General features: G+C 44.7%; 2 protein-coding genes and 1 pseudogene across 22 annotated transcripts in view, besides 8 other annotated features; 2 read left to right on the top strand and 1 right to left on the bottom strand.

Annotated features, from left to right (window-relative positions):
• SEPTIN3 (septin 3) overlaps positions 1-4,958 on the top strand; it is a 28,779-nt gene extending 23,821 nt beyond the window's left edge. For 8 of the 15 annotated variants that reach the window (NM_001389668.1, NM_001389671.1, NM_001389673.1 and 5 more), the window contains 2 exons: positions 1,027-1,078; positions 1,358-4,958. In NM_001389668.1, the coding sequence (NP_001376597.1) occupies positions 1,027-1,078; positions 1,358-1,493 (188 nt within the window). In that variant the 3' untranslated portion in view covers positions 1,494-4,958. The remainder of the gene's footprint in view (positions 1-1,026; positions 1,079-1,357) is intronic. The other 7 variants (NM_001363845.2, NM_001389669.1, NM_001389670.1 and 4 more) reach the window with 1 other exon arrangement.
• Positions 5,075-5,591: an enhancer, noted in NCBI's record as "H3K27ac-H3K4me1 hESC enhancer chr22:42394342-42394858 (GRCh37/hg19 assembly coordinates)". NCBI's record gives its function as "activates a minimal SCP1, AML or CMV promoter by ChIP-STARR-seq in naive H9 embryonic stem cells {active_cell/tissue: H9 hESC(naive)}" and the evidence as "EXISTENCE:reporter gene assay evidence [ECO:0000049][PMID:30033119]".
• Positions 5,418-5,477: a silencer, noted in NCBI's record as "silent region_13817". NCBI's record gives its function as "represses an Ori minimal core promoter by ATAC-STARR-seq in GM12878 lymphoblastoid cells {active_cell/tissue: GM12878}" and the evidence as "EXISTENCE:reporter gene assay evidence [ECO:0000049][PMID:35858748]".
• The window catches only part of WBP2NL (WBP2 N-terminal like), a 59,584-nt gene continuing 39,334 nt past the window's right edge, over positions 5,525-25,774 (top strand). For 5 of the 7 annotated variants that reach the window (XM_047441175.1, XM_047441174.1, XM_047441178.1 and 2 more), the window contains exon 1: positions 5,525-5,617. In XM_047441175.1, the coding sequence (XP_047297131.1) occupies positions 5,556-5,617 (62 nt within the window). In that variant the 5' untranslated portion in view covers positions 5,525-5,555. Of the gene's footprint in view, positions 6,038-25,774 lie in introns of all 7 variants that reach the window. The other 2 variants (XM_047441173.1, XM_047441172.1) reach the window with 1 other exon arrangement.
• Positions 5,592-6,106: an enhancer, noted in NCBI's record as "H3K27ac-H3K4me1 hESC enhancer chr22:42394859-42395373 (GRCh37/hg19 assembly coordinates)". NCBI's record gives its function as "activates a minimal SCP1, AML or CMV promoter by ChIP-STARR-seq in naive H9 embryonic stem cells {active_cell/tissue: H9 hESC(naive)}" and the evidence as "EXISTENCE:reporter gene assay evidence [ECO:0000049][PMID:30033119]".
• Positions 7,170-8,770, bottom strand: SLC25A5P1 (solute carrier family 25 member 5 pseudogene 1; annotated as a pseudogene).
• Positions 7,441-8,640: an enhancer, noted in NCBI's record as "CDK7 strongly-dependent group 2 enhancer chr22:42396708-42397907 (GRCh37/hg19 assembly coordinates)". NCBI's record gives its function as "activates an origin of replication core promoter dependent on BRD2, BRD4, P300/CBP, MED14 and CDK7 cofactors, with strong dependence on CDK7, by STARR-seq in HCT116 cells {active_cell/tissue: HCT116}" and the evidence as "EXISTENCE:reporter gene assay evidence [ECO:0000049][PMID:35650434]".
• Positions 22,426-24,099: an enhancer, noted in NCBI's record as "E1 fragment". NCBI's record gives the evidence for it as "EXISTENCE:reporter gene assay evidence [ECO:0000049][PMID:25381333]".
• Positions 22,426-24,863: a biological region, named in NCBI's record as "CYP2D6 downstream enhancer". NCBI's record gives its function as "regulatory_interactions: CYP2D6 | LOC110740340".
• Positions 23,298-24,863: an enhancer, noted in NCBI's record as "E3 fragment". NCBI's record gives the evidence for it as "EXISTENCE:reporter gene assay evidence [ECO:0000049][PMID:25381333]".
• Positions 23,367-23,570: a DNaseI hypersensitive site, noted in NCBI's record as "A5 CHART-PCR amplicon; the nucleotide coordinates are approximate for this feature". NCBI's record gives the evidence for it as "EXISTENCE:in vivo cleavage assay evidence [ECO:0001075][PMID:25381333]".

The following is a 25,774-nucleotide window of genomic DNA, read 5'->3' on the forward strand; positions in this document are numbered from 1 at the left end:
TCAGGTTAAAAGCCTTGTCCAAAGCACATAACTTGTTAGTGGTGAAACTTGATTTCAGACTCAGATTTTTTTTTTTTTTGAGACGGAGTCTCACTCTGTCATCCAGGCTGGAGTGCAGTGGCGCAATCTCAGCTCACTGCAACCTCTGCCTCCCAGGTTCAAGTAATTCTTCTGCCTTAGTCTCCCAAGTATCTGGGACTACAGGTGCGGACCCCGATTTTTGTATTTTTTATTTATCCCCAAAAATTAGCCCAGCTAATTTTTGTATTTTTCGTAGAGATGGAGTTTTGTCATGTTGGTCAGGCTGGTCTTGAACTCCTGACCTCAGGTGATCCATTTGCCTTGGCCTCCCAAAGTGCTGGGATTACAGATGTGAACCACCATGCCTGGTGATTTTATTTTTATTTTTAATAGAGGTGGGGGTCTCACTGTGTTACCCAGGCTGATCTCAAACTCCTGGGCTCCAGTAATCCTCCTACCTTGGCCTCCCAAAGTGCTGGGATTACAGGCATGAGCCACAGCGCCTGGCCCCATGTCTTAATCCTCATTCTGTTCCAACAGTGCTTGGCCAATGATTTGCAAATACTAGGTATTCAATATATGTTGAATTGGATTTGTCATGTAGTGCATGACCTTTTTAAAATGGCTCAATTATTATTTTCTCTGTGTTACTTCCAACCGGATTATAAGCTTCTGAAGAATGGGAAGTGTATCTTAGGCCTTGGCCAGTTTCTCAGACTTGGTATTAGTTTTCTCTTCTATAAAATGGTAAAAATTATAGTCCCTCTTGGCTATTATGCCACAGCGTCTAGAAGGATGTCGTGCCCATTGTAGCTGCTTAATATTTGTTCAATGAATCAAATCCAGTACACCCAAGTGAGCAAATCTCTGGAAGGGTTACAAAAAATGACCTGTCCCATAGCTTTCTCCTAAATGCCTCCGTGACCCAAACAGAAGCTCACCTCCTGGGTGTTGCTGTATTAATGAACTGACTACCTGTTTTGCTTTGTTTTGTTTTGTTCATAGTGGAAAACCTCAACCACTGTGAGTTTGCCCTGCTTCGAGACTTTGTCATCAGGTAAGATGTCTCCCCTCCAGCTGTCCAGACAGCAGGTTGAATTATTTGGGGTCAGGGTCTATCTGTTCAGATTCACCTCCTGCATCTCCAGGTCTCTCTGACAGAGCTTTCTGCCCCAGTTCCAGCTCCTGTTGCAAAATGGAAGGTGCTGTAGAAGAATCCTTAGCTCCTGGGAGTGGTTCCCATTCACTGGGTCCAGTCCCTCGAAGTGATGTGTGTCACCGCCTCCTCTTCCTGCCCCTAATTGCAGCCCTCTTCTTCTCACCCTGTGTCCTCTAGGACCCACCTCCAGGACCTCAAGGAAGTGACACACAACATCCACTATGAGACTTACAGGGCCAAGCGGCTCAATGACAATGGAGGCCTCCCTCCGGTGAGCGTGGACACAGAGGAAAGCCACGACAGTAACCCATGACGACCACTTCTCTGTGTCATCACACATACCCACTTCACACACACACATCCCAAATACCACCACCAACCACCTTCTTCCTCTCAACTCTGTCCCACAGGCCTGTCTGGTATTTGTGGAGCATCTTGTCTGTGTGTGTGTGTGTGTGTGTGTGTGTGTGTGTGTGTGTGACAGAGAGAGAGCGAGAGAGCCTGTGTGTGTGCATGCAGGGGTGAGGTATTTTCACTGCCCTCCCTGGAGAGTCCCTTGTAAGTTTGGCTCCTCCATGCCTGTCCATTATCTGTCTCCTTTCCTTGTGTCCCAAAACAAAGCTGTTTGCCTCACTCAGGAGATCTGGGGGAGGTTTCATTTAAAAGTGCTGGGAGCAGGTGAGCCACAGGCAACTCTTCTCTCGGAACCTGCACACAAACTGGGGCTATAGAGATTCTCCAAGGACAGATGGCAGTGGAGCTAGACCTGAGTAGGGGGCAGGGAGTTCAGGACAACCCTCCTGTAAGTTGGGGGTGGTCTGGGGGTAAGGCTGGGGCTTCCTGGGAAAAGGAAGGCCATGAGAAGGCAGAGAAGTAGGCCAGAGCTGGGTTCTTGCAGAAAGCATCAGTGCCTACAAATGGAGCTCCACCCTTCAGTCTGTGTCGTGTTCAGTGTCACAAAGCTACCACCTGTCACCAGAGCCTACTGCTGCTCTCCACTCAACTGGCCTCTGCTGCCAGGCCACTGCCTGTCTCTGCTTCCGACTTTGTCTTCTTTCTCCCTTTCCCTCCTTCCCTCATACATTGCTTTCTCTCCCTCTCCTGCGTGTCTCTGACATCTCTCACTTCCTTTTAGATGAATCTACTTTAGGTTCATTCCTATATTTAGCATTTATGCCCAGTCTACTTCCAGAAATGACTTTAGACTGCCTTTCACATAAAATCACAAAACTACAGGACAGTACAAACAGATTGCCAGAGAAATCTGGGTCAAAGAAAGGAATAGGAAAGAAAGTTTCTGTAGTCAAGCACCTGAACAGGCCCTGAGCTCACAGGCAGCCAATGTAAAGAGGGAAACACAGTGAGTTATGCAGTTCCCAGTGTCCAGTTAAAGGAAGCACACATGCTAGTCATGTGAGACAACCTTTTATTGGGACATCAGGTTCTAGAACTAATTCTAAAGAAGTATCAGAAACAATATACATAATTTGTCTTTCTTAGTAATTTGGCTTCAAAGACAAATTTTTGACCACACCTCCGTTTTCTCCGTCAGACTTCTCTCCCTTCTAAGCAGGCTTCTCTGTTGCTCCATTTGCTTCATACATACTTGACCTCTCTTTTCTATTCCCCATCACTTTTGTGCTGAAGCTAATCATATTTATGTCTGTCTTTCTCTACTTTTCCCTAATTCCCTCTCCTCCTGACTCCTGTAGACATTCCCAATGATACCCACCGTCATACATTTAGGCTTTTCTTGCCTTTCCCTGAAGCCCTGTATTTATTAATGCATATATTTCCCCTGCTTGTTGTACAAGTAAGTTACTCTTTTCCTTTAATCTGTAAGATTCATGAAATTCGGGGCCAGGGAAACAGTTTAGCCTTAGGGAAGGGAAAACACTAAGTGAAACTGTTTACAATAACCTCATACAACCTTCTGTCCCATCTCCTGGTTCAGCCTAGGTGTTTCACTGGTCCTCTATGAATCCCAGCACTTATAATCCCAGTCTTTTATCACTCAGGTGCTAGGAAAAAAAACATAGACTCAAGACCCAAGATTCAATGGACCAGGAGAAAGGGGGGCGGTGATCAGGTCACCAGTGACCCCAACCTATGCTCTCGGTCTTTCCTGGAGGCTGCCAACCCAGCCCTCATCCTCCCTTGCTCACAAAGTTACAGGGTAGGCACCTGTCAGGACAGAACAGCAGCAGCGCTACAGCCCAGAGGTTATACATTTCAACAGAACAGGGATCCTTGGCTACTGTAGAAGCAGTCCTGTATGGAGACCTTGGACCAGCAGGGGAAGATCTATGGGCATGGGAGGTGGGCGTTGGAAAGGCTGAGTAGGAATGGTGCCTGGCACCCCTGAACCATGATCTGAGCCTCCCTGGAGAAGGTATTTTATATGTCTGCTGCCAGCTGCTGGTCTCCACACCCTCAACCGTTCTCAACCCCCCTGCAGGGAGAAGGCCTCCTGGGCACTGTCCTTCCACCTGTGCCAGCCACCCCCTGCCCCACTGCTGAATGAAGGCCATTTCAAGCGCTGCTTCTCACTCCATTCCTCTCAGCTGTTATTGCTGCAGGGCCAAGCCCTTTTTAGTGCTGTGCTCGTCCAGCTCACCACCACAGCCCCTCTCAGCCCTCAGTAGGTGGGAGGGGCCAGCTGCCTCTTTAGGCCAGTTGCATCCTCCATTTATCCAAACCACTCCTCTCCTCCCAGTGGAGTGGGGTTCTGCCAGTACAGCCCTACTGCATCATCTGCGTCAGCCGGTCCTAGCCCATCTGCAGGGTGAAAGAACTCATCAAGAGCTCCTTCTGCCCTTGTAAGCCCATCCCAGCTACTTGTAACCATCTCTAAGGGCAATGGCATTGCTCCCTACCCATTCATCTGCATGAGCTACTCTTGGCTTCCTTAAAGGGTCAAGAAAGCAATTTTTCTGCTTACTAGATTCATTGAGATCAGCTGTGTGAGCCCCAAAGTGGGACAAGGGTGTCTCCTTCATTACTTAAAGATATTCATGAGGGTGGGTCACTACAGATGTTGGGGAGCAAGGGCTAGGATCACTTTTTAAAAAATCACCACTTGTGGCTGTCCCAGAGTGCGGTTGTACATCCTCCCCACCTCATAACGCAGCCACTGAGGAAGAGTGGTTTTCCTAAGAAGACATTGCTGGAGTTGACTTTCTTCTGTCCAAACAAACAAACAAAAACTAAACACACACACAAACCCCCAGAAACCCACAATATGTACACGCTAAGGAAAAACTAGCACCCTTCTGTCCACTCAGCAATAAGAGGGATCTCTTCCCACCTACCCTACCTACTCCTACCCCCAACCCCCTTCCCCATTAATGTGAGTAATGAATTAGCCTGACCACAGGTGGTCACTGTAGGCTAATGGAAAATACCCAAGGGAGGGCAAAGCCCCCCATCAGATGCATGAATGTTTGCGAATGTTGACTGCCACTGCCCCACACACTGTGTCTTTATAGAATTCCCCTTTGCCCACCCTCTTCCTGTCTCCACCTGGACACAACTTGCTCAAAGGCTGGTGACTTGTGGGCCATTCATCTACAACCAAGTCCTGATGGAGCAAGAGGCCCACGCCTAGGGGATGCAAGAACAACCCGTTTCTTAAATGTTACCAGTCCCAGCCAATCTTACGGTGACATTACAGTTAAATTTCCCAATTGAAAACAAGCAAACAGACACTCAAACTGGTCCTGTAATTGTTGCTAGACTTTATGTGTTGTACAACTAAACATTGCTGTTTGAACAGTAACTGCCTGGCCTGTCTTATTTGTGCTCCTTGACCAAATCAGCCATTATGTCATCTCACCCATGTGTGGAGGGTGAGACTCTCTTGGTAAGAAATAGCCACAGATATTAGAGATGAAAACACTTTGTGAGGTCAGTTCATCTTCAGTTGGCGTCAGGTCGGGCCTCAGTCATTATTTTCTAGTGTTTCATAACCAAAGTGAGTAATGGATGGGAGGTTGAGGTGGGAAGATGGCTTGAGCATGGGAGGTTGGAGGTGCAGTGAGCTGAGATCATTCCTGACAGGACCAACCCAAGTCCATACCTAAAGGCAGGGGGCTAAGGGGGCAGGTGAGGTCGGGAGGCCACTCACCTATCACTCACCCCTTCGCGCTCGAGCCAATTCTCAGGGCCCGCCTCTTTCTCCCCTTTCTCGGCGGGGGCCTCTACCCTGACTCCGCCCCGCTCCCCGGGCACTGCCCCACCACGTGACCCGGTCTCGCTCCTCCTCCTCCTCCTCCTTACGTCATAATCTCCGCCCTCCCCTTCAGAACCGCGCCCCACAGCTCGGCGCAGGTCCCGCCCCTTTCCATCTACGGGGCGGCAGGAGGCCCGAAGCAAGATGGCGGTGAATCAGAGCCACACCGAGAACCGCCGCGGAGCCCTCATCCCTAACGGTGAAAGGTGCCTGAGGGGAAGCACGGCGTGCTGTCGGAGGAGAGGAGACGAATGAGATAGACATGGCGGCTCGCAAACTCTCAGCGAGTCAGGGACTTTGCCGCCTTTTTTGGGCGCGGCGCTCTTAGCTCCGCCCCCGACCTTTGGGAGCGCGCGCCCCTCACTGGTGTTCCGGCATGTGGAGGTGGCGGAGGCCGGAACGCGTGGCCTCGCGCGTTTGAGGGGTGGGGGTGGGAATGCGCCTTTTCAAGGCGCGGGGCCCAGACGCATGTCTCCTCAGGGCGGGGCGGGGAGGGGGTGCGAGACGCGTGTGTCCTTCGAAGAGAGGCCGGAGCTGACCGGCGGTTGTGAGCAGCCGGGGGCCTTCGGTGGCAGCGTGGCTGCCCTTGGGTGCCTGCGACTTTGTTGGATGAGGACAGGTACTGGGTGTGTATCTCCTCCTACTTCCACGAACAAGGTGTCGCTCTTTGGTAAGAGGGATGAGGAGGTCGAGTGTGGATCATTCTGGAAAGATCTCAAACTGTTGTGGGGCTTCTCCTTGGACCTGGAAACTTTCTAAAGCCATGTTTCCTCCTTGCTCCAACCAGGGAGATGTCTGCTTTTAAAAACAAAATTGAAAAAATTGAGGCCAGGTGCAGTGGCTCATGCCTCTTATCCCAACAGTTTGGGAAGCTGAGGTGGCCCAGGAGTTTGAGACAAGACTGGGCAACATAGTGAGACCCCATCTCTACAAAAAGTAGAAAATTAGTGGGCCATGGTGGTGTGCACCCATAATCCCAGCTGCTTGGGAGGCGATGGTAAGAGGATTGCTTGAACCCAGGAGTTTGGGCTGCAGTGAGCTCAGATTGTACCACTGCACTCCAGCCTGGGTAACAGAGCCAGATCCTGTCTTAAAATAAAAGATGGGACTGAACAGATGCCTGGGCACAACAAAGCACTGTTGGTCGCAGGAAGCTGTGGGGCTTACACCAGTTGCTTTGCTCCTTGCGGTGCCTGCTGCTGGCCCCTGAGCTCTCTACTGGAGCAGACTCAGCCAGAGGGGTGCCCATCTCCACCTTCAAGCACACTTGTTCACTAAGGCCTGACTCCACTGCGCTCACCTCTTTACCCCACACGCCCCCTTTCCCGTTTCCTACACTCAAACTCAGTCTCCCCCGCTGTGCAGTTCTAAATTGCGCTCCTTTCTGGGCTCTGACTTGCCCTCAATTTCCTTTTCTCCCAACCAGCATTGAAACTCAAGCTGGATGATGTGCTTGGGGCCAGCACACTCAGGTCAGTTTGAATGTAGTTGTCAGGAAGATCGAAGTAGACGTTACCAAATGCTGATATCCAGGTCTTTCTTCTATCTTTCCTTCCTCCAGAAAGTTTTCTTGACAGATTTATATGGGCCTTAGAGGTTGTATGTTCTCACCTGCTTCCTACGTACCTCTGCTGCTTTGTTCCATTTTGTGGTAGATGATTGCTCACCACTCTGACAGTGGTGTCCCCGTGAGCACTTACTGAGAGCCATTTGAGCACTTGTCATTCCATGGTGTGAAGCCTTTCTTTTCTTTTCTTTTTTCTTTTCTTAAGATATTTTTATTTCTCCAAATTTGTTATTTATTAGGAGTGACTGAAATAAAAAACATAATTGAGTCCCATCATCATCATCATCATAGAAATGGCTTTAAGAGAAAACTGGTCAGATGACTATTATTGCTTCCCATTTCCAACCAGTGAATAGTTGCCACTGATAAATTGACAGCGAGGAGTCTGTCAAGAATGCTCAAGATAGCCGGGCGCGGTGGCCCACGCCTGTAATCCCAGCACTTTGGGAGGCCCAGGTGGGTGGATCACAAGATCGGGAGTTCAGGAGCAGCCTGGCCAATATGTTGAAACCCCATCTCTACTAAAAATACAAAAAAAAAAAAAACAGCCGGGAGTGGTGGCGGATGTCTGTAGTCCCAGCTACTCAGGAGGTTGAGGCAGGAGAATTGCTTGAACCCAAAAGGTGAATCACCCAAAAGGTGAACCAAAAGGTTGAGGCAGGAGAATTGCTCCACCAAAAGGTGGAGGTTGCAGTGAGCCGAGATTGTGCCACTGCACTCCACCCTGGGCAATAGAGGGAGACTCCGTCTCAAAAAAAAAGAATGCTCAAGATATGTCATATAATACAACATGCCTGTTCAAAGGGGGAAAAATCTTAGGAAATAACTTACATGTACTTCTTGGTTTCATCATACAAGACAAGCACAAAAGCACCACCCATGCCTCTGAGAACACTGGACCATGCACCCTTGAAAACAGCTTTGCTTCCTTCATCATGAGTAATCTTCCTCCAGCAGTCAAATGTGCCTGTGTACATGATGTCAGTTCCTTTGCATCCTGACTGCATCATCATGTAGCAGCAAATGGTGTTAAATGAATAGGAAGTCAACCCAGCAACGGCAGTGACAGTCTGTGCATCATCCAACTGATGACAATGTGAGTGTTCTTGGGATCCGGAAGCATTCCCTTTGCAGTGTCATAGTTACCGAAGTAGGCAGCAGGCAGCTCGGTAGATAATACCCTGCACAGACACGTTAAAGCCTTGGTACAGGCTCTTAATCCCGTCAGATTTGTAGATCTTAACTAGGCAGTCACCGAAACCTCGCAATTCCCTTTCAGCTCCAGCTTTGCCCACATCAGCTGCTACACGAGTATGGGCAAAATCAAGAGGGTACACAAAACACAAGGATGTGGCCCCAGTGGCACCGCCTGATGCCAGATTCCCTGCAAAGTAGCGCCAAAACTGGGATCTCTTGTCCACACCATCCAGGAAGATCTGCTTGTATTTATCTTTGAAGGTGAAGTTAAGAGCCTGGGTGGGGGAAGTATCTGATGACACTGGCCAGGTTACCGCACCAGGACAGGACTCCGTGCTCCTTGGGAATACAGACCATGCAGTCTCTAATGCCCTTGTATTGCTTATCTGCAGTGATCTGCTTGCTGGCATGCTGCACCTGTAGCAGCAGCTTGACCCGCTCGATGGGTGCTACCGCCATCTTGGAGATGGCTGCGGCCACTCCACCTGCCAGGGAGTCCTTGGCGAAGGACACAGCAGCCTCTGTGATGTCGAAAGAGGAGGCAGGCTGCTGTGGGATGGGACTGGTCCGAGAATCGGCTTTGACTCCGGGGCTGATTGTGAAGTCATTTCTAATTTGGTGTTTGGGTGTCTTCTCACTCGGGCTATGGGTGTCTCTCTACTTCACTGCTTGTGTGTTGGAGAAAGGGAAGGAAGCATGTTTTAAAAAACAAAACACAGAAACACTGATTTTTGTGGTCCTTTGAATTACCTTTATGGGATCCATTTTGTGCTCCTGAATACTTAATAGCATTTATCGAACACTATTTCAAGTACTGTTCTTAGTTCTAAGAGCTTTATACTGTAGTTAAAACCACTTTACCAGCCAGGCGTGGTGGCTCACGCCTGTAATCCCAGCACTTTGGGAGGCCAAGGCCAGTGGATTACATGAGATCAGGAGTTCAAGACCAGCCTGGCCAACATGGTGAAACCCCTGTCCCTACTAAAAATACAAAAATTAGCCAGGCATGGTGGTGCACGTCTGTAATCCCAGCGACTCAGGAGGCTGAGGCACGAGAATTGCTTGAGCCTGGGAGGCAGAGGGGAGGTTGTAGTGAGCTGAGATCATGACACTACACTCCAGCCTGGGTAACAGGGTGAGGCTCTGTCTCAAAACAAAACAAAGTAAAAAAACTCAGTCTATCTACAGTGAAGATCAGTACTGTTTTCCCTCATTTCACAGGTGGGAAAACAAAAAGAAGTCATTTGCTTAAAGCGCATGTGGGAGAGCTTGGATTTGGATTTGAACTTAGGTACTGTGCATAAACTCCTGTACTCCAGCTGTCCCTCTAGAAAGAAAAGGACTCTTTCTCTGTTTTCTTCTCACCAAAGAAGATCCTATTAGTACCCTAGCTTCCTGGATAGAAACTACTTTAAAGAACCAGAGATAGTGGTGCACATCTGTAGTCCCACCTATTCGAGAGGCTAAGGTGGGAGGATCACTTGAGGCCAGGAGTTCAAGACCACGCTGAGCAAAATAGTGGGACCTCATCTCACAGAATAAAATTTAAGAAAAGAAAAAAAAGAAACTATAGCCAGGCATGGTGGCACATGCCTGTAATCCCAGCTGCTTGGGAGACTGAGGCAGGAGAATCGCTTGAACCCAAGGAGGCAGAGGTTACAGTGAACAGAGATCACGCCATTGCACTCCAGCCTGGGCAACAAGAGTGAAACTCCATCTCAAAAAAAAAAAAAAAGTGCCAGCTTATGAGGTAATTACATTGGTTCTCTCCAGAGGGGTAACCTGCCAAGAAGAGATGCTATAGATGTTACTCTTATACTGTAAAACATTGTGAAATCAGATTGCTTAAAAATGATGTATTACAAAGTTATGGAAAAAAGCAGTTGTGACTATGGAAGCCCAAGGCTTATATCCTAGCTCTGTCTTACACTAAATGTGGGTACAGTGTTTCCACTTTTTGTAAAATGGGAGCTAATATCCTCCAACCTGTGTGCCTGACATGGTGATTAAAAGGATTAATCGAAACAACAGTTTGTAATTTATTCTGTCAGAGCAAACTGCTGATAAATAAAAGGGAGTAAGTTGACTAAAAATAAATTTTTTTTAAAAAAAGAAAAATCCGAATAAAGCAAGTTTGTACTTTGTATACAAATAAAAGATGTTATTAAAAAAAAGAAACTAAAAAAACTTGAGCAGGAGAAGATTGATTCTATGAGGAGTCTTCAAAAAGATCATGGAAAATATGGGTTGCGAAAAAACTATGCATGGATTCCAGATTATTTTTCCACCAAAATTAACTCATACTAACTTGTTATAACATGACTGAACAGGATTTAGTTTGAGGCACTAAGAAAGATAAGATATCAATTTGAAAAAGGGCTCCTATCAGAGCAACATAAATACTGCTTAAATTGAAGGAAGAACAAACATCAAATTTATGGTAAACCTTGGGTGGAAGAATGGTGAAACCATTGATGCTTTAGGAAAAGTTTATGGGGAAATGGCCCAAATAAATCAGCAGTTTACAAATGGATAATAAGAAGGGACAAGAGGCCAGTCGCGATGGCTCACGCCTGCAGTCCCAGTACTTTGGGAGGCCGAGGCAGGTGGGTCACTTGAGGTCAGGAGTTTGAGACCAGCTGGCCAACGTGGTGAAACCCTGTCTCTACTAAGAATATGTAAAATTTGCCAGGCGTGGTGGCACATGCCTGTAATCCCAGCTATTTGGGAGGCTAAGGCAGGAGAATTGTGGGAACCCAGGAGGTGGAGGTTGCAGTGAGCTGAGATCACGTGACTGCACTCCAGCCTGGGCATCACAGCAAGACTCCATATCAAAATAAGTAAATAAATAAAATTTAAAAAGAAGGAACAAGGGCTGGGTGCAGTGGCTGATGCCTGTAATCCCAGAACTTTGGGAGGCTGAGGTCGGTGGATCACTTGAGTCCAGGAGTTTAAGACCAGCCTGGGCAACATAGTAAAACCCTATCTCTACTAAAAATACAAAAAATAGTTGGATGTGGTGGCATGTGCCTGTAGTCCTAGCTATTTGGGAGGCTGAGGTGGGAGAATCACTTGAACCTGGGAGGTGGAGGTTACAGTGAGCTGAGATTGTGCCACTGCACTCCAGCCTCCAGCCTGGGTGACAGAGTGAGACCCTGTCTCAAAAAAGAGAAGGGACAAGATGATGTTAAAGACGAAGCCTGGGCAGGGCACAGTGGCTCACGGTTGTAATCCCAGCACTTTGGGAGGCCAAAGTGGGTGTATTGCTTGAGGTCAGGAGTTCCAGACCAGCTTGGCCAACATGAGGAAACCCCATCTCTACTAAAAATACAAAAAATTAGCTGGGTGTGGTGGTGATACCTGTAATCCCAACTACTCGGGAGGCCGAAGCAGGAGAATCGCTTGAACCTGAGAGGCTGAGGTTGCAATGAGCCAAGATCACACCATTGCATTCCAGCCTGGTCAACAAGAGCAAAACTCTGTCTCAAAAAATAAATAGGCTGGGCATGGTGGCTCATGCCTGTCATCCCAGCACTTTGGGAGGCCAAGGTGGGCAGATCACAAAGTCAGGAGTTCGAGACCAGCCTGACCAACATGATGAAACCCCGTCTCTACTAAAAATAAAAAAATTAGCCAGGCGTGGTGGTGCGTGCCTGTAATCCCGGCTACTCAGGAGGCTGAGGCAGGAGAATCACTTGAACCCAGGAGGCGGAGGTTGCAATGAGCCAAGATCATGCCACTGCATTTCAGCCTGGGTGACAGAGTGTAAGACTCTGTCTGAAATAAATAAATAGGCCGGGCATGGTGGCTCACGCCTGTAATCCCAGCACTTTGGGAGGCTGAGGCAGGTGGATCACCTGAGGTCAGGAGTTTGAGACCAGCCTGGCCAAAATGATGAAACCCCATCTCTACTAAAAATACAAAAATTAGTTGGGGGTGGTGGTGGGTTCCTGTAATCCCAGCTACTTGGGAGGCTGAGGCAGGAGAATTGCTTGAACTCAGGAGGTGGAGGTTGCAGTGAGTGGAGATCTCGCTACTGCATTCCAGCCTGGGTGACACTCCTGAGTGAGACTCTGTCTCAAAAATAAATAAATAAATAGATGAAGCCTGTGGTGGCAGACCATCCACATTAATTTGTGAGGAAAAAATTCATCTTGTTCATGCCCTAATTGAAGAGAATTCATGATTGACAGCAGAAACAATAACCAATACAGTACACATATCATTTGGTTCAGTTTACAGAATTAAAGTTGAGCAAACTTTCCATTCAATGGGAGCCAAAAGTGTAGTGCCCAGATCAGCTGCAGGCAAGAGCAGAACTTGCAGTGGAAAATTTAAATATGTGGGATCAAGATCCTGAAGCATTTCTTCAAAGAATTGTAACAGGAAATGAAACATGGCTTTACCAGTATGATCCTGAAGATAAAGCACAATCAAAACGGTGGCTACAAAGATGTGGAAGTGGTCCACTCAAAGCAAAAGTGAACAGACAGGTCAAGAGCAAATGTCATGGCAACAGTTTTTTGAGATGCTCAAGGCATTTTCTTTATTGACTTTCTGGAAGGTCAAAGAATGGTAACATCTGCTTTGTTTTAAGAAAATTAGGCAAAGCTTTAGCAGAAAAACACCCAAGAAAGCTTTACTAGAGAGTTCTTCTCCACCATGACAATGCTCCTGTTCATCGTTCTCATCAAACAAAGGCAATTTTGCAAGGGTTTTGATGGGAAATCATTAGGCATTCATGGATCATTAGGCTCCTTCTAATTTATTTTGTTTCCCAATCTTTTTTTTTTTTTTTTCGAGACGGAGTCTCGCTCTGTCACCCAGGCTGGAGTGCAGTGGCACGATCTCCGCTCACTGCAAGCTCTGCCTCCCGGGTTCACGCCATTCTCCTGCCTCAGCCTCCCAAGTAGCTGGGACTGCAGGCACCCGCCACCACACTCGGCTAATTTTTTGTATTTTTAGTAGAGACTAAACCCACTGATGGGGTTTCACTGTGTTAGCCAGGATGGTCTCGATCGCCTGACCTCGTGATCCGCCCACCTCAGCCTCCCAAAGTGCTGGCATTACAGGCGTGAGCCACCGCTCCCAGCCGGCTTTGTTTCCTAATCTTAAAAATCCTGATTGGGCACCCATTTTTCTTCTGTTAAAAATGTAAAAAAGACTGCCTTGGCATGATTACATTTCCAGGACCCTCAGTTCTTTAGGGATGGACTAAATGGCTTGTGTCATAGCTTACTAAAGTGTCTTGAACTTGTTGGAACTTATGTTGAGAAATAAGGTTTATGTTTTTATCTTTTAATTCCATGAACTGTTCGGAGTTCCCATTATATTTTGACTCCTCTTGCCTATTCACAATACACAGTTGAGAAATTGATCACAGCTTGCTGTGTTTTGTAGAGATTTTTTCTGACCCCAGCTGAGAAGTCATGAACATATGGGACAGACTCTACTGTAAAATGGGAATCATTGAGTTGTTTTATTTTATGCATTGTTAAAACGTGTGCTGGAAACCTGTCATTATAGAAAAATCAGAAGAAAAAATCTGTTATCCCAAATTTTTACCAGTAATGTTTGCATTTTGGTATATGTCCTTCTGTACTTTTCCACATGGAAATAAACAGTTTTTTTCTCCAACTGCTTTATAACTTATTTTCCTCATTTGCCAGTATATTGGGAATGTTTTCTAGTGTATCTACATCATTATTTTCAATGGCTGGTATTCCAGTGTGCATAAATCTTTACTCAACCCCTAATCTGGAATAGTCTGGGTTTTTGTTTTGTTTTTTGTTTGTTTGTGGTTTTTTTGGTCATTACTATAAACATTCCTGCAATGAACATTTTTGAAAACATAATTTTGCCTACCTGTCAAAATGTTTCTTTGGGATAGGGGAATTGTGAGGTCAGAGGATTAGACTTTTAAAAAGAGATTAAAAATATTTATTGAAAATATAAAAATCATTGTTCAAAATATTAAAGTATACATGACTTTACATTAAAATACACTTATTGCAGAATTGCCCTACAGAATTATATCAATTTACATTCCTCTCAGTACTCTGAGTGCCCACTTCACCATACTTTTCCCAACAATTCTGTTCCCATTAAACAATTCCCTCTATCCCTCTCCCCATGACACCTAGTAACAACCATTCTACTTTCTGTTTCTATGAATTTGACTACTTCAGATACCTCATGTAAGTGTAATGACAATATTTGTCTTTTTGTGGCTGGTTTATTTAACTTAGCGTAACATCCTCAAGGTTCGTCCATGTTACAGCATGTGACAGGATTTCCTTCTTTTAAGGTTGAAAAATATTCCATTGTATGTATGTGCCACATTTTGTTTATCCATTCATGCACTGATGGACATTTAGGTTGCTTCCACCTCCTGGTTATTGTGAATAGTGCTGCTATCAACATAAGTATTCAAATATCTATTTGAGACACTGCTGGCAATTCTTTTGGATGTATACCCAGAAGCAGGATTGCTAGCTTGTACGGTAGTTCTATTTTTAATTTTTTTTGAGGAGCCTCCGGACTGTTTTCCATAGCAGCTACTCATTTTACATTTCTAGCAACAGTGCACAAGAGTTCCGGTTTCTCCACATCCTCACCAACACTTGTTTTTCTTCTCTTCTCTTCTCCTCTTCCTTTCCTTTCCTTTCCTTTCCTTTCCTTTGCTTTCCTTTCCTTTCCTTTCCTTTCCTTTCCTTTCCTTTCCTTTCCTTTCTCCCTCCCTTCCCTCTCCCTCCCCCTCCCCCTCTCCTCCCCTCCCTTCCCTTTTTTTGACAGAGTCTCACTCTGTCACTCAGGCTGTAGTGTAGCAGCAGGATCTTGGCTCATTGCAGCCTTAGCTTCCGGGGTTCAAGTGATTCACATGCCCTCAGCCTCCTGAGTAGCCAGGATTACAAGCATATGCCACTACACCCAGTTTTTTGTATTTTTAGTAGAGACGGGGTTTCGCTGTGTTGGCCAGGCTGGTCTCAAACTCTTAGCATCAAGTGATCCACTCACCTTGGCCTCCCAAAGTGCTGGGATTACAGGCATGAGCCACCATGCCTGGACCTGTTGGTTTTTTAAATATTAACCATCCTAATGGGTATAAAGTGATGTCTCATTGTGGTTTTGATTTGTATTTCTCTGATGATTAGTAATGACAATCTTTTTATATGCTCATTGGCCATTTGTGTATTATTGCTCTTGTTGCCCAGGCTGGAGTGCAATGGTGCGATCTCAGCTCACTGCAACCTCTGCCTCCCAGGTTCAAGTGATTCTCCTGCCTCAGCCTCCTGAGTAGCTGGGATTACAGGTGCCCACCACCACACCTGGCTAATTTTTTTTATTATTTTTTTTCTAAGATGGAGTCTCGCTCTGTTGCCCAGGCTGGAGTGCAGTGGCACGATCTTGGCTGACTGCAAGCTCCGCCTCCCAGGTTCACACCATTCTCCTGCCTCAGCCTCCTGAGTAGCTGGGACTACAGGTGTCCACCACCACGCCCGGCTAATTTTTTCTATTTTTTAGTAGAGACGGGGTTTCACCGTGTTAGCCAGGATGGTCTCGATCTCCTGATCTTGTGATCCACCCGCCTCAGCCTCCCAAAGTGCTGGGATTACAGGCGTGAGCCACTGGGCCTGGCCAATTTTTTTGTATTTTTAGTAGAGACAGGGTTTCACCATGTTGGGCTGGCTGGTCTTGAACTACTGACCTCAGTTGATCCACCCACCTTGGCCTTGTGCTGGGATTACAGGGAGCTCTTTACATACTCTAGATATTAAGCCCTTATCATAAATACAATTTGAAATATTTTCTCCCATTCCATAGGTTGCTGTTTCATTCTGGTGATTGTGTCCTTTGATACACAATTTTTAAGTTTGATATAGTCCAATTTATTTATTTGTTCTTTTGTTGCCGGTGCTTTTGTTTTTTTATCCAAGAAGTCATTGACAAGTCCAATGTCACGAAGATTTTCAGTATGTTTTTTTCTAGGAGTTTTATAGTTTTGGGTCTTATGTTTAAGTCTTTAATCCATTTTGAGTTAATTTTTGCATACTATGTAAGATAAAGGTATGACTTCATTCTTTTGCATGTGGATATCCAGTTTTCTAAAAGGACATCATTTGTTAAATAGATTGTCTTTTCCTCACTGAGTCATCTTAGTACCTTTGTTGAAGATTATTTGATCAATTCTCACATATATGTGAAGATTTGTTTCTATTCTAGTCCATTGGTTTGTTTATCTTTAATGCCAGTATCATGCTGTTTTGGTTACTGTAGCTTTGTAATATACTTTGAAATCAGGAAGTGTGAATCCTCTTTGTTCTTCTTTTTAAAAATTATTTGGCTTTTTGGGGTCCCTTGAGATTCTATATGAATTTTATGATGTCGCTTTCTGTTTGTGCAAAAAGTGTTGTTGAGATTTGGTAGGGATTGTGTTGAATCTCTGAATCACTTGAGTAGCCTGGACGTCTTAGCCTTATTAAGTTTTCAAATCCATGAACATGGGATATCTTTCCATTTATTTATGTCTTCAATATTTTTCACTAATGTTTTATAGTTTTCAGTGTACAAACCTTTCACCTCCTTGGTGAGGTTTATTCCTAAGTATTTTATTCTTTTTGATGCTATTGTAAATGGAATTATTTCCTTAATCTCCTTTTTGGATCATTCATAATTAGTGTATAGAAATGCAACTATATTTGTGGGTTGATTTTATATGCTGCTACTTTACTGAATTCACTTATTTTGACAGCTTTTTGGTGGACTCTTTAAGTTTATTTACATATAAGATCACGCCATCTGTGAACGGAGTTAATTTTACTTCTTCCTTCCAAATTTGAATACCATTTATTTATTTATTTTATTTTTTGCCTAATTGCTCTGGCTAGGACTTCCAATACTATGTCGAATAGAAGTGGTGAAAGCAGGCATCCTTGCCTTGTTTCTAATCTTAGAGGGGAAGCTTTCAGTCTTTTGCCATTCAGTATGCTGTTAGCTGCAGGCTTTTCATATATGGCTTTTATTATGTTGAGGTAGCTTCCTTCTACTTTTAGTTTGTTGAGTGTTTTTATCATGAAAATATATTGAACCTTTTCTTTTCTTTTTTTTCTTTTTTTTTGAGACGGAGTCTCGCTCTGTTGCCCAGGCTGGAGTGCAGTGGCGCAATCTCGGCTCACTGCCAGCTCTGCCTCCAAGGTTCACGCCATTCTCCTGCCTCAGCCTCCTGAGTAGCTGGGACTACAGGCGCCCACCACCACACCCGGCTAATTTTTTGTATTTTTAGTAGAGATGGGGTTTCACCGTGTTAGCCAGGATGATCTCGATCTCCTGACCTCGTGATCCGCCCGCCTTGGCCTCCCAAAGAGCTGGGATTACAGGCGTGAGCCACCACGCCTGGCCAAAAATATACTGAATCTTTTCATATGCTTTTTCTGCATCGATTGTGATGATCGCATGGTTTTTTCCCTTCATTTTGTTCATATGGTGTGTTACATTGATTCATTTTCCTATGCTGAACCATCCTTGCATTCTAGGAGTAAACCCCATTTGGTCATAGTGTATAGTCCTTTTAATGTGCTGCTGAATTTGGTTTGCTAGTATTTTGTTGAGGATTTTTTACATCAATATTCATCAGAGATACTGACCTGCAATTTTATTTTATTGTAGTTTCTTTGTCTGGCTTCGGTATCAGGGTAATGCTGGCCTCATAAAGTAAGCCTAGAAGTGTTTCTTCCTCTTTAATTTTGGGGAAGAGTTTCAGAAAGATTAGTTAATTCTTTAAACGTTTTGTATAATAGAATTTGTTGAGAGGTTTTTTTTTCTCTTTTTGAGACAGGTTCTCACTCTGTCACCCTGTCTGGAGTGCAGTGATGTGACATGATCACAGCTTACTGCTGCCTCAATCTCCGAGGCTCAAGTGATCCTCCCACCTCAGCCTCCCGAGTAGCTGGGACTACAGATGTGTGCCACCACACCCAACTTTTTTTTTATATATTTTGTAGAGATGAGGTTTTCAAGTTGCCTAGGCTGGTCGGAAACTCCTGGCCTCGAGCAATCCTCCTGTCTCAGCCTCCCAAAGTGCTGGGATTAAAGGCATGAGCCACCACACCTAGCTGAGAGGTTTTTGGTTACTGATTCAATTTCCTTACTAGTTAATTGGTCTGTTTATATTTTATGTTTGTTCATGATTCAGTGTGGTAGGTTGTGTTTTTCTAGGGATTTATCCATTTCTTCTAGGTTATCCAACTTGACATACAATTGTCCTTGGTTTTCTCTTTAATCCTTGTAACTCCTTGGCATCAGTTTTTTTTTTGGTTGTTGTTGTTGTTGTTTTTCTTGTTGTTGTTGTTTTGGAGACAGAGTCTTACTCTGTCGCCCAGGCTGGAGTGCAGTCGTGCAATATTGGCTCGCTGCAACCTTTGCCTCCTGGGTTAAAGTGATTCTCCTGCCTCAGCCTCCCTTGTAGCTGGGATTACAGGTGCCCACCACCATGCCTGGCTAATTTTTTTGAATGTTTATACTAGAGATGGGGTTTCGCCATGTTGGCCAGGCTGGTCTCAAACTCCTGGCCTCAAGTAATCCACCTGCCTTGGCCTCCCAAAGTGCTGGGATTACAGGCTGAGCCACCATGCCTGGCTGGCATCAGTTTTAATATCCTCTTTTTCATTTCTGATTTTAGTTGAGACTTCTCTCTTTTTCTTAATCTAGCTAAGAGTTTGTCAAGTTTGTTGAACTTAAATTTTTTTTCTTATTTTTTTCTATTCTCGCTTTTATTTATCTCTGTTCTAATCTTTATTATTTTCTTCTTTCTGCTAGCTTTGGGCTTCATTTGTTTTTCTTTAGTTCCTTGAGGCATAAAGTTAGGTTGTCGATTTGAGATCTTTCTTCTTTATTAAAGTACACATCTGCAGCTATAAACATCTTAGCACTGCATTTACAGCAACCCATAAGCTTTGGTATGTTGTGTTTTCATGTTCATTTTTCTCTAGGTACTTTCTAATTTCCCTCTGATTTCTTCTTTGACTCATTTATTTAATAGTGTATTGTTTAATTTCCACATATTTGTGGCAGTTTTCCTTGTGCTGTTGATTTCTAGTTTCTTTCCATTGTAATCAGAAAACATATTATAAAATATAGCGTTTCTTGTATTTCAAATCTACTAGTAAAGAGCTTTCATTTTTTGTTTATTTGGTAATGTCTTAATTTCTCTTTAATTTTTGAAGGATAGTTTTGCCACTCATAGAATTCTTGGTTAAGAGTTTTTTGTTTTTAGGGCTGGGCACGGTGGCTCTCGCCTGTAATCACAGCACTTTGGGAGGCCGAGGCAGGTGGATCACGAGGTCAGAAGATGGAGACCATTCTGGCTAACATGGTGAAACCCCATCTCTACTAAAAATGCAAAAAATTAGTTGGGCGTGGTGGCACGCACCTGTAGTCCCAGCTACTCAGGAGGCTGAGGCAGGAGAATCACTTGAACTCAGGAGGTGGAGGTTGCAGTGAGCCAAGATCATGCCACTGCACTCCAGTTTGGGCAATGGAGCATGACTCTGTCTCAAAAAAAAAAAACAACGGAGTGTTTTTTTACTTTTAGCAGTTTGAATATGTCATCACATTTCCTTTTGGCCTCCATGATTTCAATAAGAAATCGCTGCTGGCCGGGCGTGGTGGCTTATGCCTGTAATCCCAGCACTTTGGGAGCCCGAGGTGAGCAGATCACCTGAGGCCGGGAGTTCGAGACCAGCCTGACCAACATGGAGAAACCCCATCTCTACTAAAAATACAAAATTAGCTGGGTGTGGTGGTGCATGCCTGTAATCCCAGCTATATAATCCAAGCTACTCGGGAGGCTGAGGCAGGAGAATCACTTGAACCTGGGAGGTGGAGGTTGTGGTGAGCCAAGATTGTGCCATTGCACTCTAGCCTGGGCAACAAAAGTGAAACTCCATCTCAAAAAAAAAAAAAAGAAAAAGAAAAAGAAAAAGAAATCAGCTGCTAGTCTGAGGATTCCTTGTGCGTGATGAGTCACTTATCTTGTTAATTTCAAGATTCCTTGTATTTGGCTTTCAATAATTTGATTATAATGCATGTCAGTGTGGAACTGAGTTTATTCTACTTGGAGTTTGTTGCACTTGGATGTGTAGATTCATGTATTTCATTAAATTTGGGAAGGTTTTGGCCATTATTTATTTATTTTGAGATAGGGTCTCTATCACGTAGGCTGGAGTGCAGTGGCACGATCACAGCTCACTGCAGCCTCGACATCCCAGGCTCAAGTGATTCTCTTGCCTCAGCCTCCTGAGTAGCTGGGGCTACTGATGCATGCCACCACACCTGACTAAATTTTTAATTTTTTTTTTTTTTGAGAGAGAGTCTCACTCTGTTGCCCAGACTGGAGTGCATTGGTGCGATCTCAGTTCACTGTAACCTCTGCCTCCTGGGTTCACGCAATTCTCCGGCCTCAGCCTCCGGAGTAGCTGGGATTATAGGCATGCACCACCCACGCCTGGCTATTTTTTGTATTTTTAGTAGAGATGGGGTCTCACCATGTTGGTCAGGCTGGGCTCGAATTCCTGACTTCAGGTGATCCATCTGCCTCTGCCTTTCAAAGTACTGGGATTACAGGCATGAGCCACCGCACCCCACCGGCAAATTTTTAAATTTTTAGTAGAGGTGAGGTTTCACTATGTTGCCCAAGCTGGTTTCAAACTCCTGAGCTCAAGCAGTCCTCCCGCCTCAGCCTCCCAAACTGCTGGGATTACAGGCATGAGCCACTGTTTCCGGCTCAGATATTCTTTTTTCTTATTTTGAGACAGGGTCTCCCTCTGTCACCCAGGCTGGAGTGCAGTGGTACAGTCGTGGCTCACTACAGCCTTGACCTCCCAGGCTGAAGCAATCCTCCCACCTCAGTGTCTTGGATAGGTGGGACTGTAGGTGCACTCCACCATGCTTGGCTAATTTTTTGTATTCTTTGTAGAGATAGGGTTTCACCATGTTGCCCTTGCTGGTGTTGAACACCTGTGCTCACGCATTCTGCCCACTGTGGCCTCCCAAAGTGCTAGGATTACAGGCATGAGCCACCGCGCCTGGCCCCAAATGTTCTTTATTCCCCTTTCTCTCTCTCCTCTCCTTCTTGAATTCCCATTCTAGATATATTGGTATGTTTGATGGTGTCCCACAGATTTCTTAGACTTCGTTCATTTTTTCTTCGTTTTTTCCCATTTGTGTTACTCAGGTAGTAACCGTTATTCCCATTGACCTACTTCAAGTTCAATAATTCTCTCTTCTGCCTGCCAAAATTGGCTGTTGAGCCCCAGTGATTAAATTGTTCATTTCAGTTGTAGTCTTCAACTCTAGAATTTCTGTTTGGTTCCTTTTAATAATTTCTGCCTCTTTATTGATATTCTCTACTTCCTGAGACTTTGTTTGTATTCTTTCTTTTAGTTATTTGGACATCATTTCCTTTAACTCTTTGAGTATATTTACAATAGTTTATTTAAAGTGTTGTCTGATAAATCCAATGTATGGGCTTCCTCAGGGACAGTTTTTATTAATTTATTTTGTTCCTGTGTATTCCCATACTTTCTTGTTCCTTTGCATGCCTAGTGATTTTTGTTGTTGTTGAAAACTGGACATTTTGAATATTTTAATGTAGTAACTCTGGAAAGTAGAATCTCCCTCTTCTTCAGGGTATATTTTTGTTGCTTGTTATTTGTTTGTACAGTGACTTTTCTGTACTAATTTTGTAAAGTCTGTATTCTTTGTTATTTGTGGCCACTGGAATCTCAGTTCTGTTACCTCAGTGGCCAGCTAGTGATTTGACAGAAATTTTCTTCTATGTCTGGAACAACAACAACAAAATCTCCCAGCCCTTGCAGATGGGCTTTGTGTGTGTTGGAGCATGAGCGTGCCTTTCTTACTCAGCCAGGCAGTTTACAACTCTGCCTTCACCTTCACTTCTTTTTGCATCATTTCCTTTTTTTTTTGAGACAGAGTCTTGCTCTGTTGCCCAGGCTGGAGTGCAATGGCATGATCTTGGCTCACTGCAACCTCTGCCTCCCGGGTTCAAGCAATTCTCCTGCCTCAGCCTCCTGAGTAGCTGGGATTATAGGCGCCCACCACTACGCCCAGCTAATTTTTGTATTTTTAATAAAGATGGGATTTTGCCATGTTGGCCAGGCTGGTCTTGAACTCCTGACCTCAGGTGATCTGCCTGCCTCAGCCTTCCGAAGTGCTAGATTACAGGCGTGAGCCACCGCACCGAGGCCTTTTTGCATCACTTCTAATTGTCAATCAGAGGTGAAAGCTTAGTGCCTCTTCAGTGTGTGTGTGTGTTTCATTTTTTGTTTGTTTTTAGTATGAATCTAGCCCTGGACATGTATGTGTATGGCTTTCTTGTTTCTCAGGAATATGTGTGAGCTTTTCGAAGCCTTTATTCCTCAAAGCATCTCATTGCTCATCCTTTCCTTTAGCTTTTCAATTTGTCTGTTTTTTTGCCCCAGTTGTCATCCCTTTCGCTAGGTAGCAGCAACTAATACATTGGCTTGGAAATTTTTTTTTTCTTGAGATGAAATTTCGCTCTTGTTCCCCAGGCTGGAGTGCAATGGGAAGATCTTGGCTCACTGCAAACTCTGCCTCCCGGGTTCAAGCAATTCTCCTGCCTCAGCCTCCCGAGTAGCTGGGATTACAGACACATGCCACCAGGCCCAGCTAATTTTGCATTTTTAGTAGAGACGGGGTTTCTCCATGTTGGTCATGCTGGTCTTGAACTCCCGACCTCTGGTAATCCTCCCGCCTCAGCCTCCCAAAGTGCTGAGATTACAGGTATGAACCACCGGACCCGGCCGGAAATGTTTTTGACAAATGCCTCCCGGTAGCCTCATCAGTCCCGGGAAAATTACAAATTAAATACATGCCCTTTGAGCCGGTCCTTCAAGGAGCCACCAGACAAGTCAAACTACAATTTTTAAAAATAAGTGTGTTCTGCTCCCTCCAGTACTTCGTATCTATCATGGGAATATAGATTGTTGTCTTCAAAGCTGCTGCCAAGCTAGTAGTGGGGGATGATACCAGGGTAGGTTAAAATGTCATAAAGCTTACTTACTGAGATTTGGCTTTTTAAAAAAATTACTTAAGCATTCCCCTAGTTACCATAAGCTTTTGATTAGATTCTAGAGTTCTGAAAAAGTTGATTCTGACAGGTTTTCTTTTGCTTTATTTATTGCTTTTATGGCTAGACTGACATTTAAAGATTCCCATTCCACAGTTTTTTGCTAATGTCCTGTATTTTCATAGTCTTTTAAAAATCCTCCCCTTTTAATCTGCACATTACCACCCTAGTTCCAGTTTTTACCTTGCATCAGGACTATTTTAGGAATTCTTAAACTGATCCCTCTGATACACTACCTTCTTGATTATGTGACTTTCCTGTTGAGAAATCTGAAGCTCACAGTTTCTCCTTGCCTATCAAATGATGTCTTTAAGCTGTAGTTCCAGCATAGCTTTCCAACTTTGTTTCACTGTTTCTCCTAACCTCACTTCCACACTGTGTTTTGATGAAGCCATACCACTAGGCTTCTCCCAAGTATGCAGTTTGCTTTCCATATCTGCTCCTGCACCTCCATGAATGCTGTTTGCTTCCCATCTGGATTGTCCTCTACCTTCACCTCTACCTACTGAATGCTACCCATCTCTCTCTCTCTCTTTTTTTTGAAACAGGGTCATACTCTGTTGCCCAGGGTGGAGTGCAGTGGATCACTGCAATCTGTGCCCCATGGCTCAAGCAATCTTCCCACCTCAGCCTTCCGAGTAGCTGAGATTACAGGCATGTACCACCATGCCTGGATACTTTTTGTATTTTAGTAGAGATGGGGTTTCACCATGTTGGTCAAGCTGGTCTCTAACTCCCCAAATGATCCGCCAGCCTCGGCCTCCCAAAGTGCTGGGATTACAGGCGTGAGCCACTGTGCCCAGCCAGAATACTACCCATCTCTTAATCAGCTCAAATTGCAGTCTTTCTATTAGGTCATTCCTAATTACTTCAACTAAAACGAATCTCTTCTTTCACTAAATTGCTATGACAGTTTGTTACTAATAAATGTATGACATACATTTATATTATGTATGTCATATATTGTTTGCATTATGATCTGTATTCATGCTTTCATTCATTCTTTTAATAACTATTTAGAGCACCCACTGTTTGCTAGGGCTAGAGTAGCAAAGAAGGCAGACATTGTACCTAATGATCATTATACATTGGTTACATATATCATTAAGAAAGAAAAGGCTGGGGGACTGGGTATGGTGGCGCATTCCTGTAGTCCTAGCACATTGGGAGGCTAAAGCAGGCAGATCTCTTGAGCCCAGGAGTTTGAGACCATCCTGGGCAACATGGTGAAACCTCATCTCTACTAAAAATACAAAAAAATTGGCCGGGTGCAGTGGCTCACGCCTGTAATCCCAGCACTTTGGGAGGTCGAGGCGGGCGGATCACCTGAGGTCAGGAGTTCCAGACCAGCCTGGCCAACATGGTGAAACCCCGTCTCTACCAAAAAATACAAAAATTAGCCTGGCATGGTGGCAGGCGACTTAATCCCAGCTATTTGGGAGGCAGAGGCAGGAGAATCGTTTGAACCCGGGAGGCGGAGGTTGCAGTGAGCCGAGATCGAGCCATTGCACTCAAACCTGGGGGACAAGAGCAAGACTTCTCTCAAAAAAAAAAAAAAAAAATTAGCCAGGCGTGGTGGTGCTTGCCTACGGTCCCAGCTACTCAGGAGGCTGAATGGGAGGATCACCTGAGCCCAGGAGGTGGAGGTTGGTGAGCAGAGATTATGCCACTGCACTCCAGCCTGGGCAACAGAGTGAGACCCTGTCTCAAAAAAAAAAAAAAAAAAGACAGAAGAAAGAGAGAGAGAGAAAAGAAAGGAAGGGAAGGGAAGAAGGAAATGGAAGGAAAGAAGGGAAGGGAAGAAGGGAAGGAAAGTCAAAAGGAAAGGAAAGAAAGAAGTGAGGGAAGGAGGGAGGGAGAAAGAGAAAGAAGAAATAAGAAAAAGAGAAAGAAAGAAAAGAAAGAAAGATAAAGTAAGAAAAAAAAGAACCCAGCAGGATTTGATGAGTGACAGTAAGGTGAGTCCAAGTTTTCCAGGTTAACAGTAAGGAGAGAGCACGACAGGCTGAGGGAACATGTCAGAGGGGGCTGGGGCAGTCTGCTGCCTTACTTTCTTTACCAGCGTCAAAGAACCATTTCTATTAGCACAGTGCTTTACACTTACCGCACAAGAAGTATAAGAATTAATGAACACACATTGAGAATAGGAGTAGGTTTGACAAGAAAAAGAATCCAATGATGAAGAGGGAGAAGAATAAGAGTAAATTGTCAGAGAATAAGATCATTTGAATTCCTTTTTATTTCAATAAAATAGTAGTAGTAGTAATAGTAGCAGTAGCAGCAGCTAATGTTTATTGAGTGCTTACTCTGGAAAAAAAAAAAAAAAAACTACATTAAGGGCCGGGCACGGTGGCATGCCTGTAATCCCAGCACTTTGGGAGGCTGAGGCGGGCGGATCACAAGGTCAGGAGATCGAGACCATCCTGGCTAACA

The sequence above is a fragment of the Homo sapiens genome, chromosome 22 (assembly GCF_000001405.40).
Source record: "Homo sapiens chromosome 22, GRCh38.p14 Primary Assembly".
NCBI classification, from domain to species: Eukaryota; Metazoa; Chordata; class Mammalia; order Primates; family Hominidae; genus Homo; species Homo sapiens.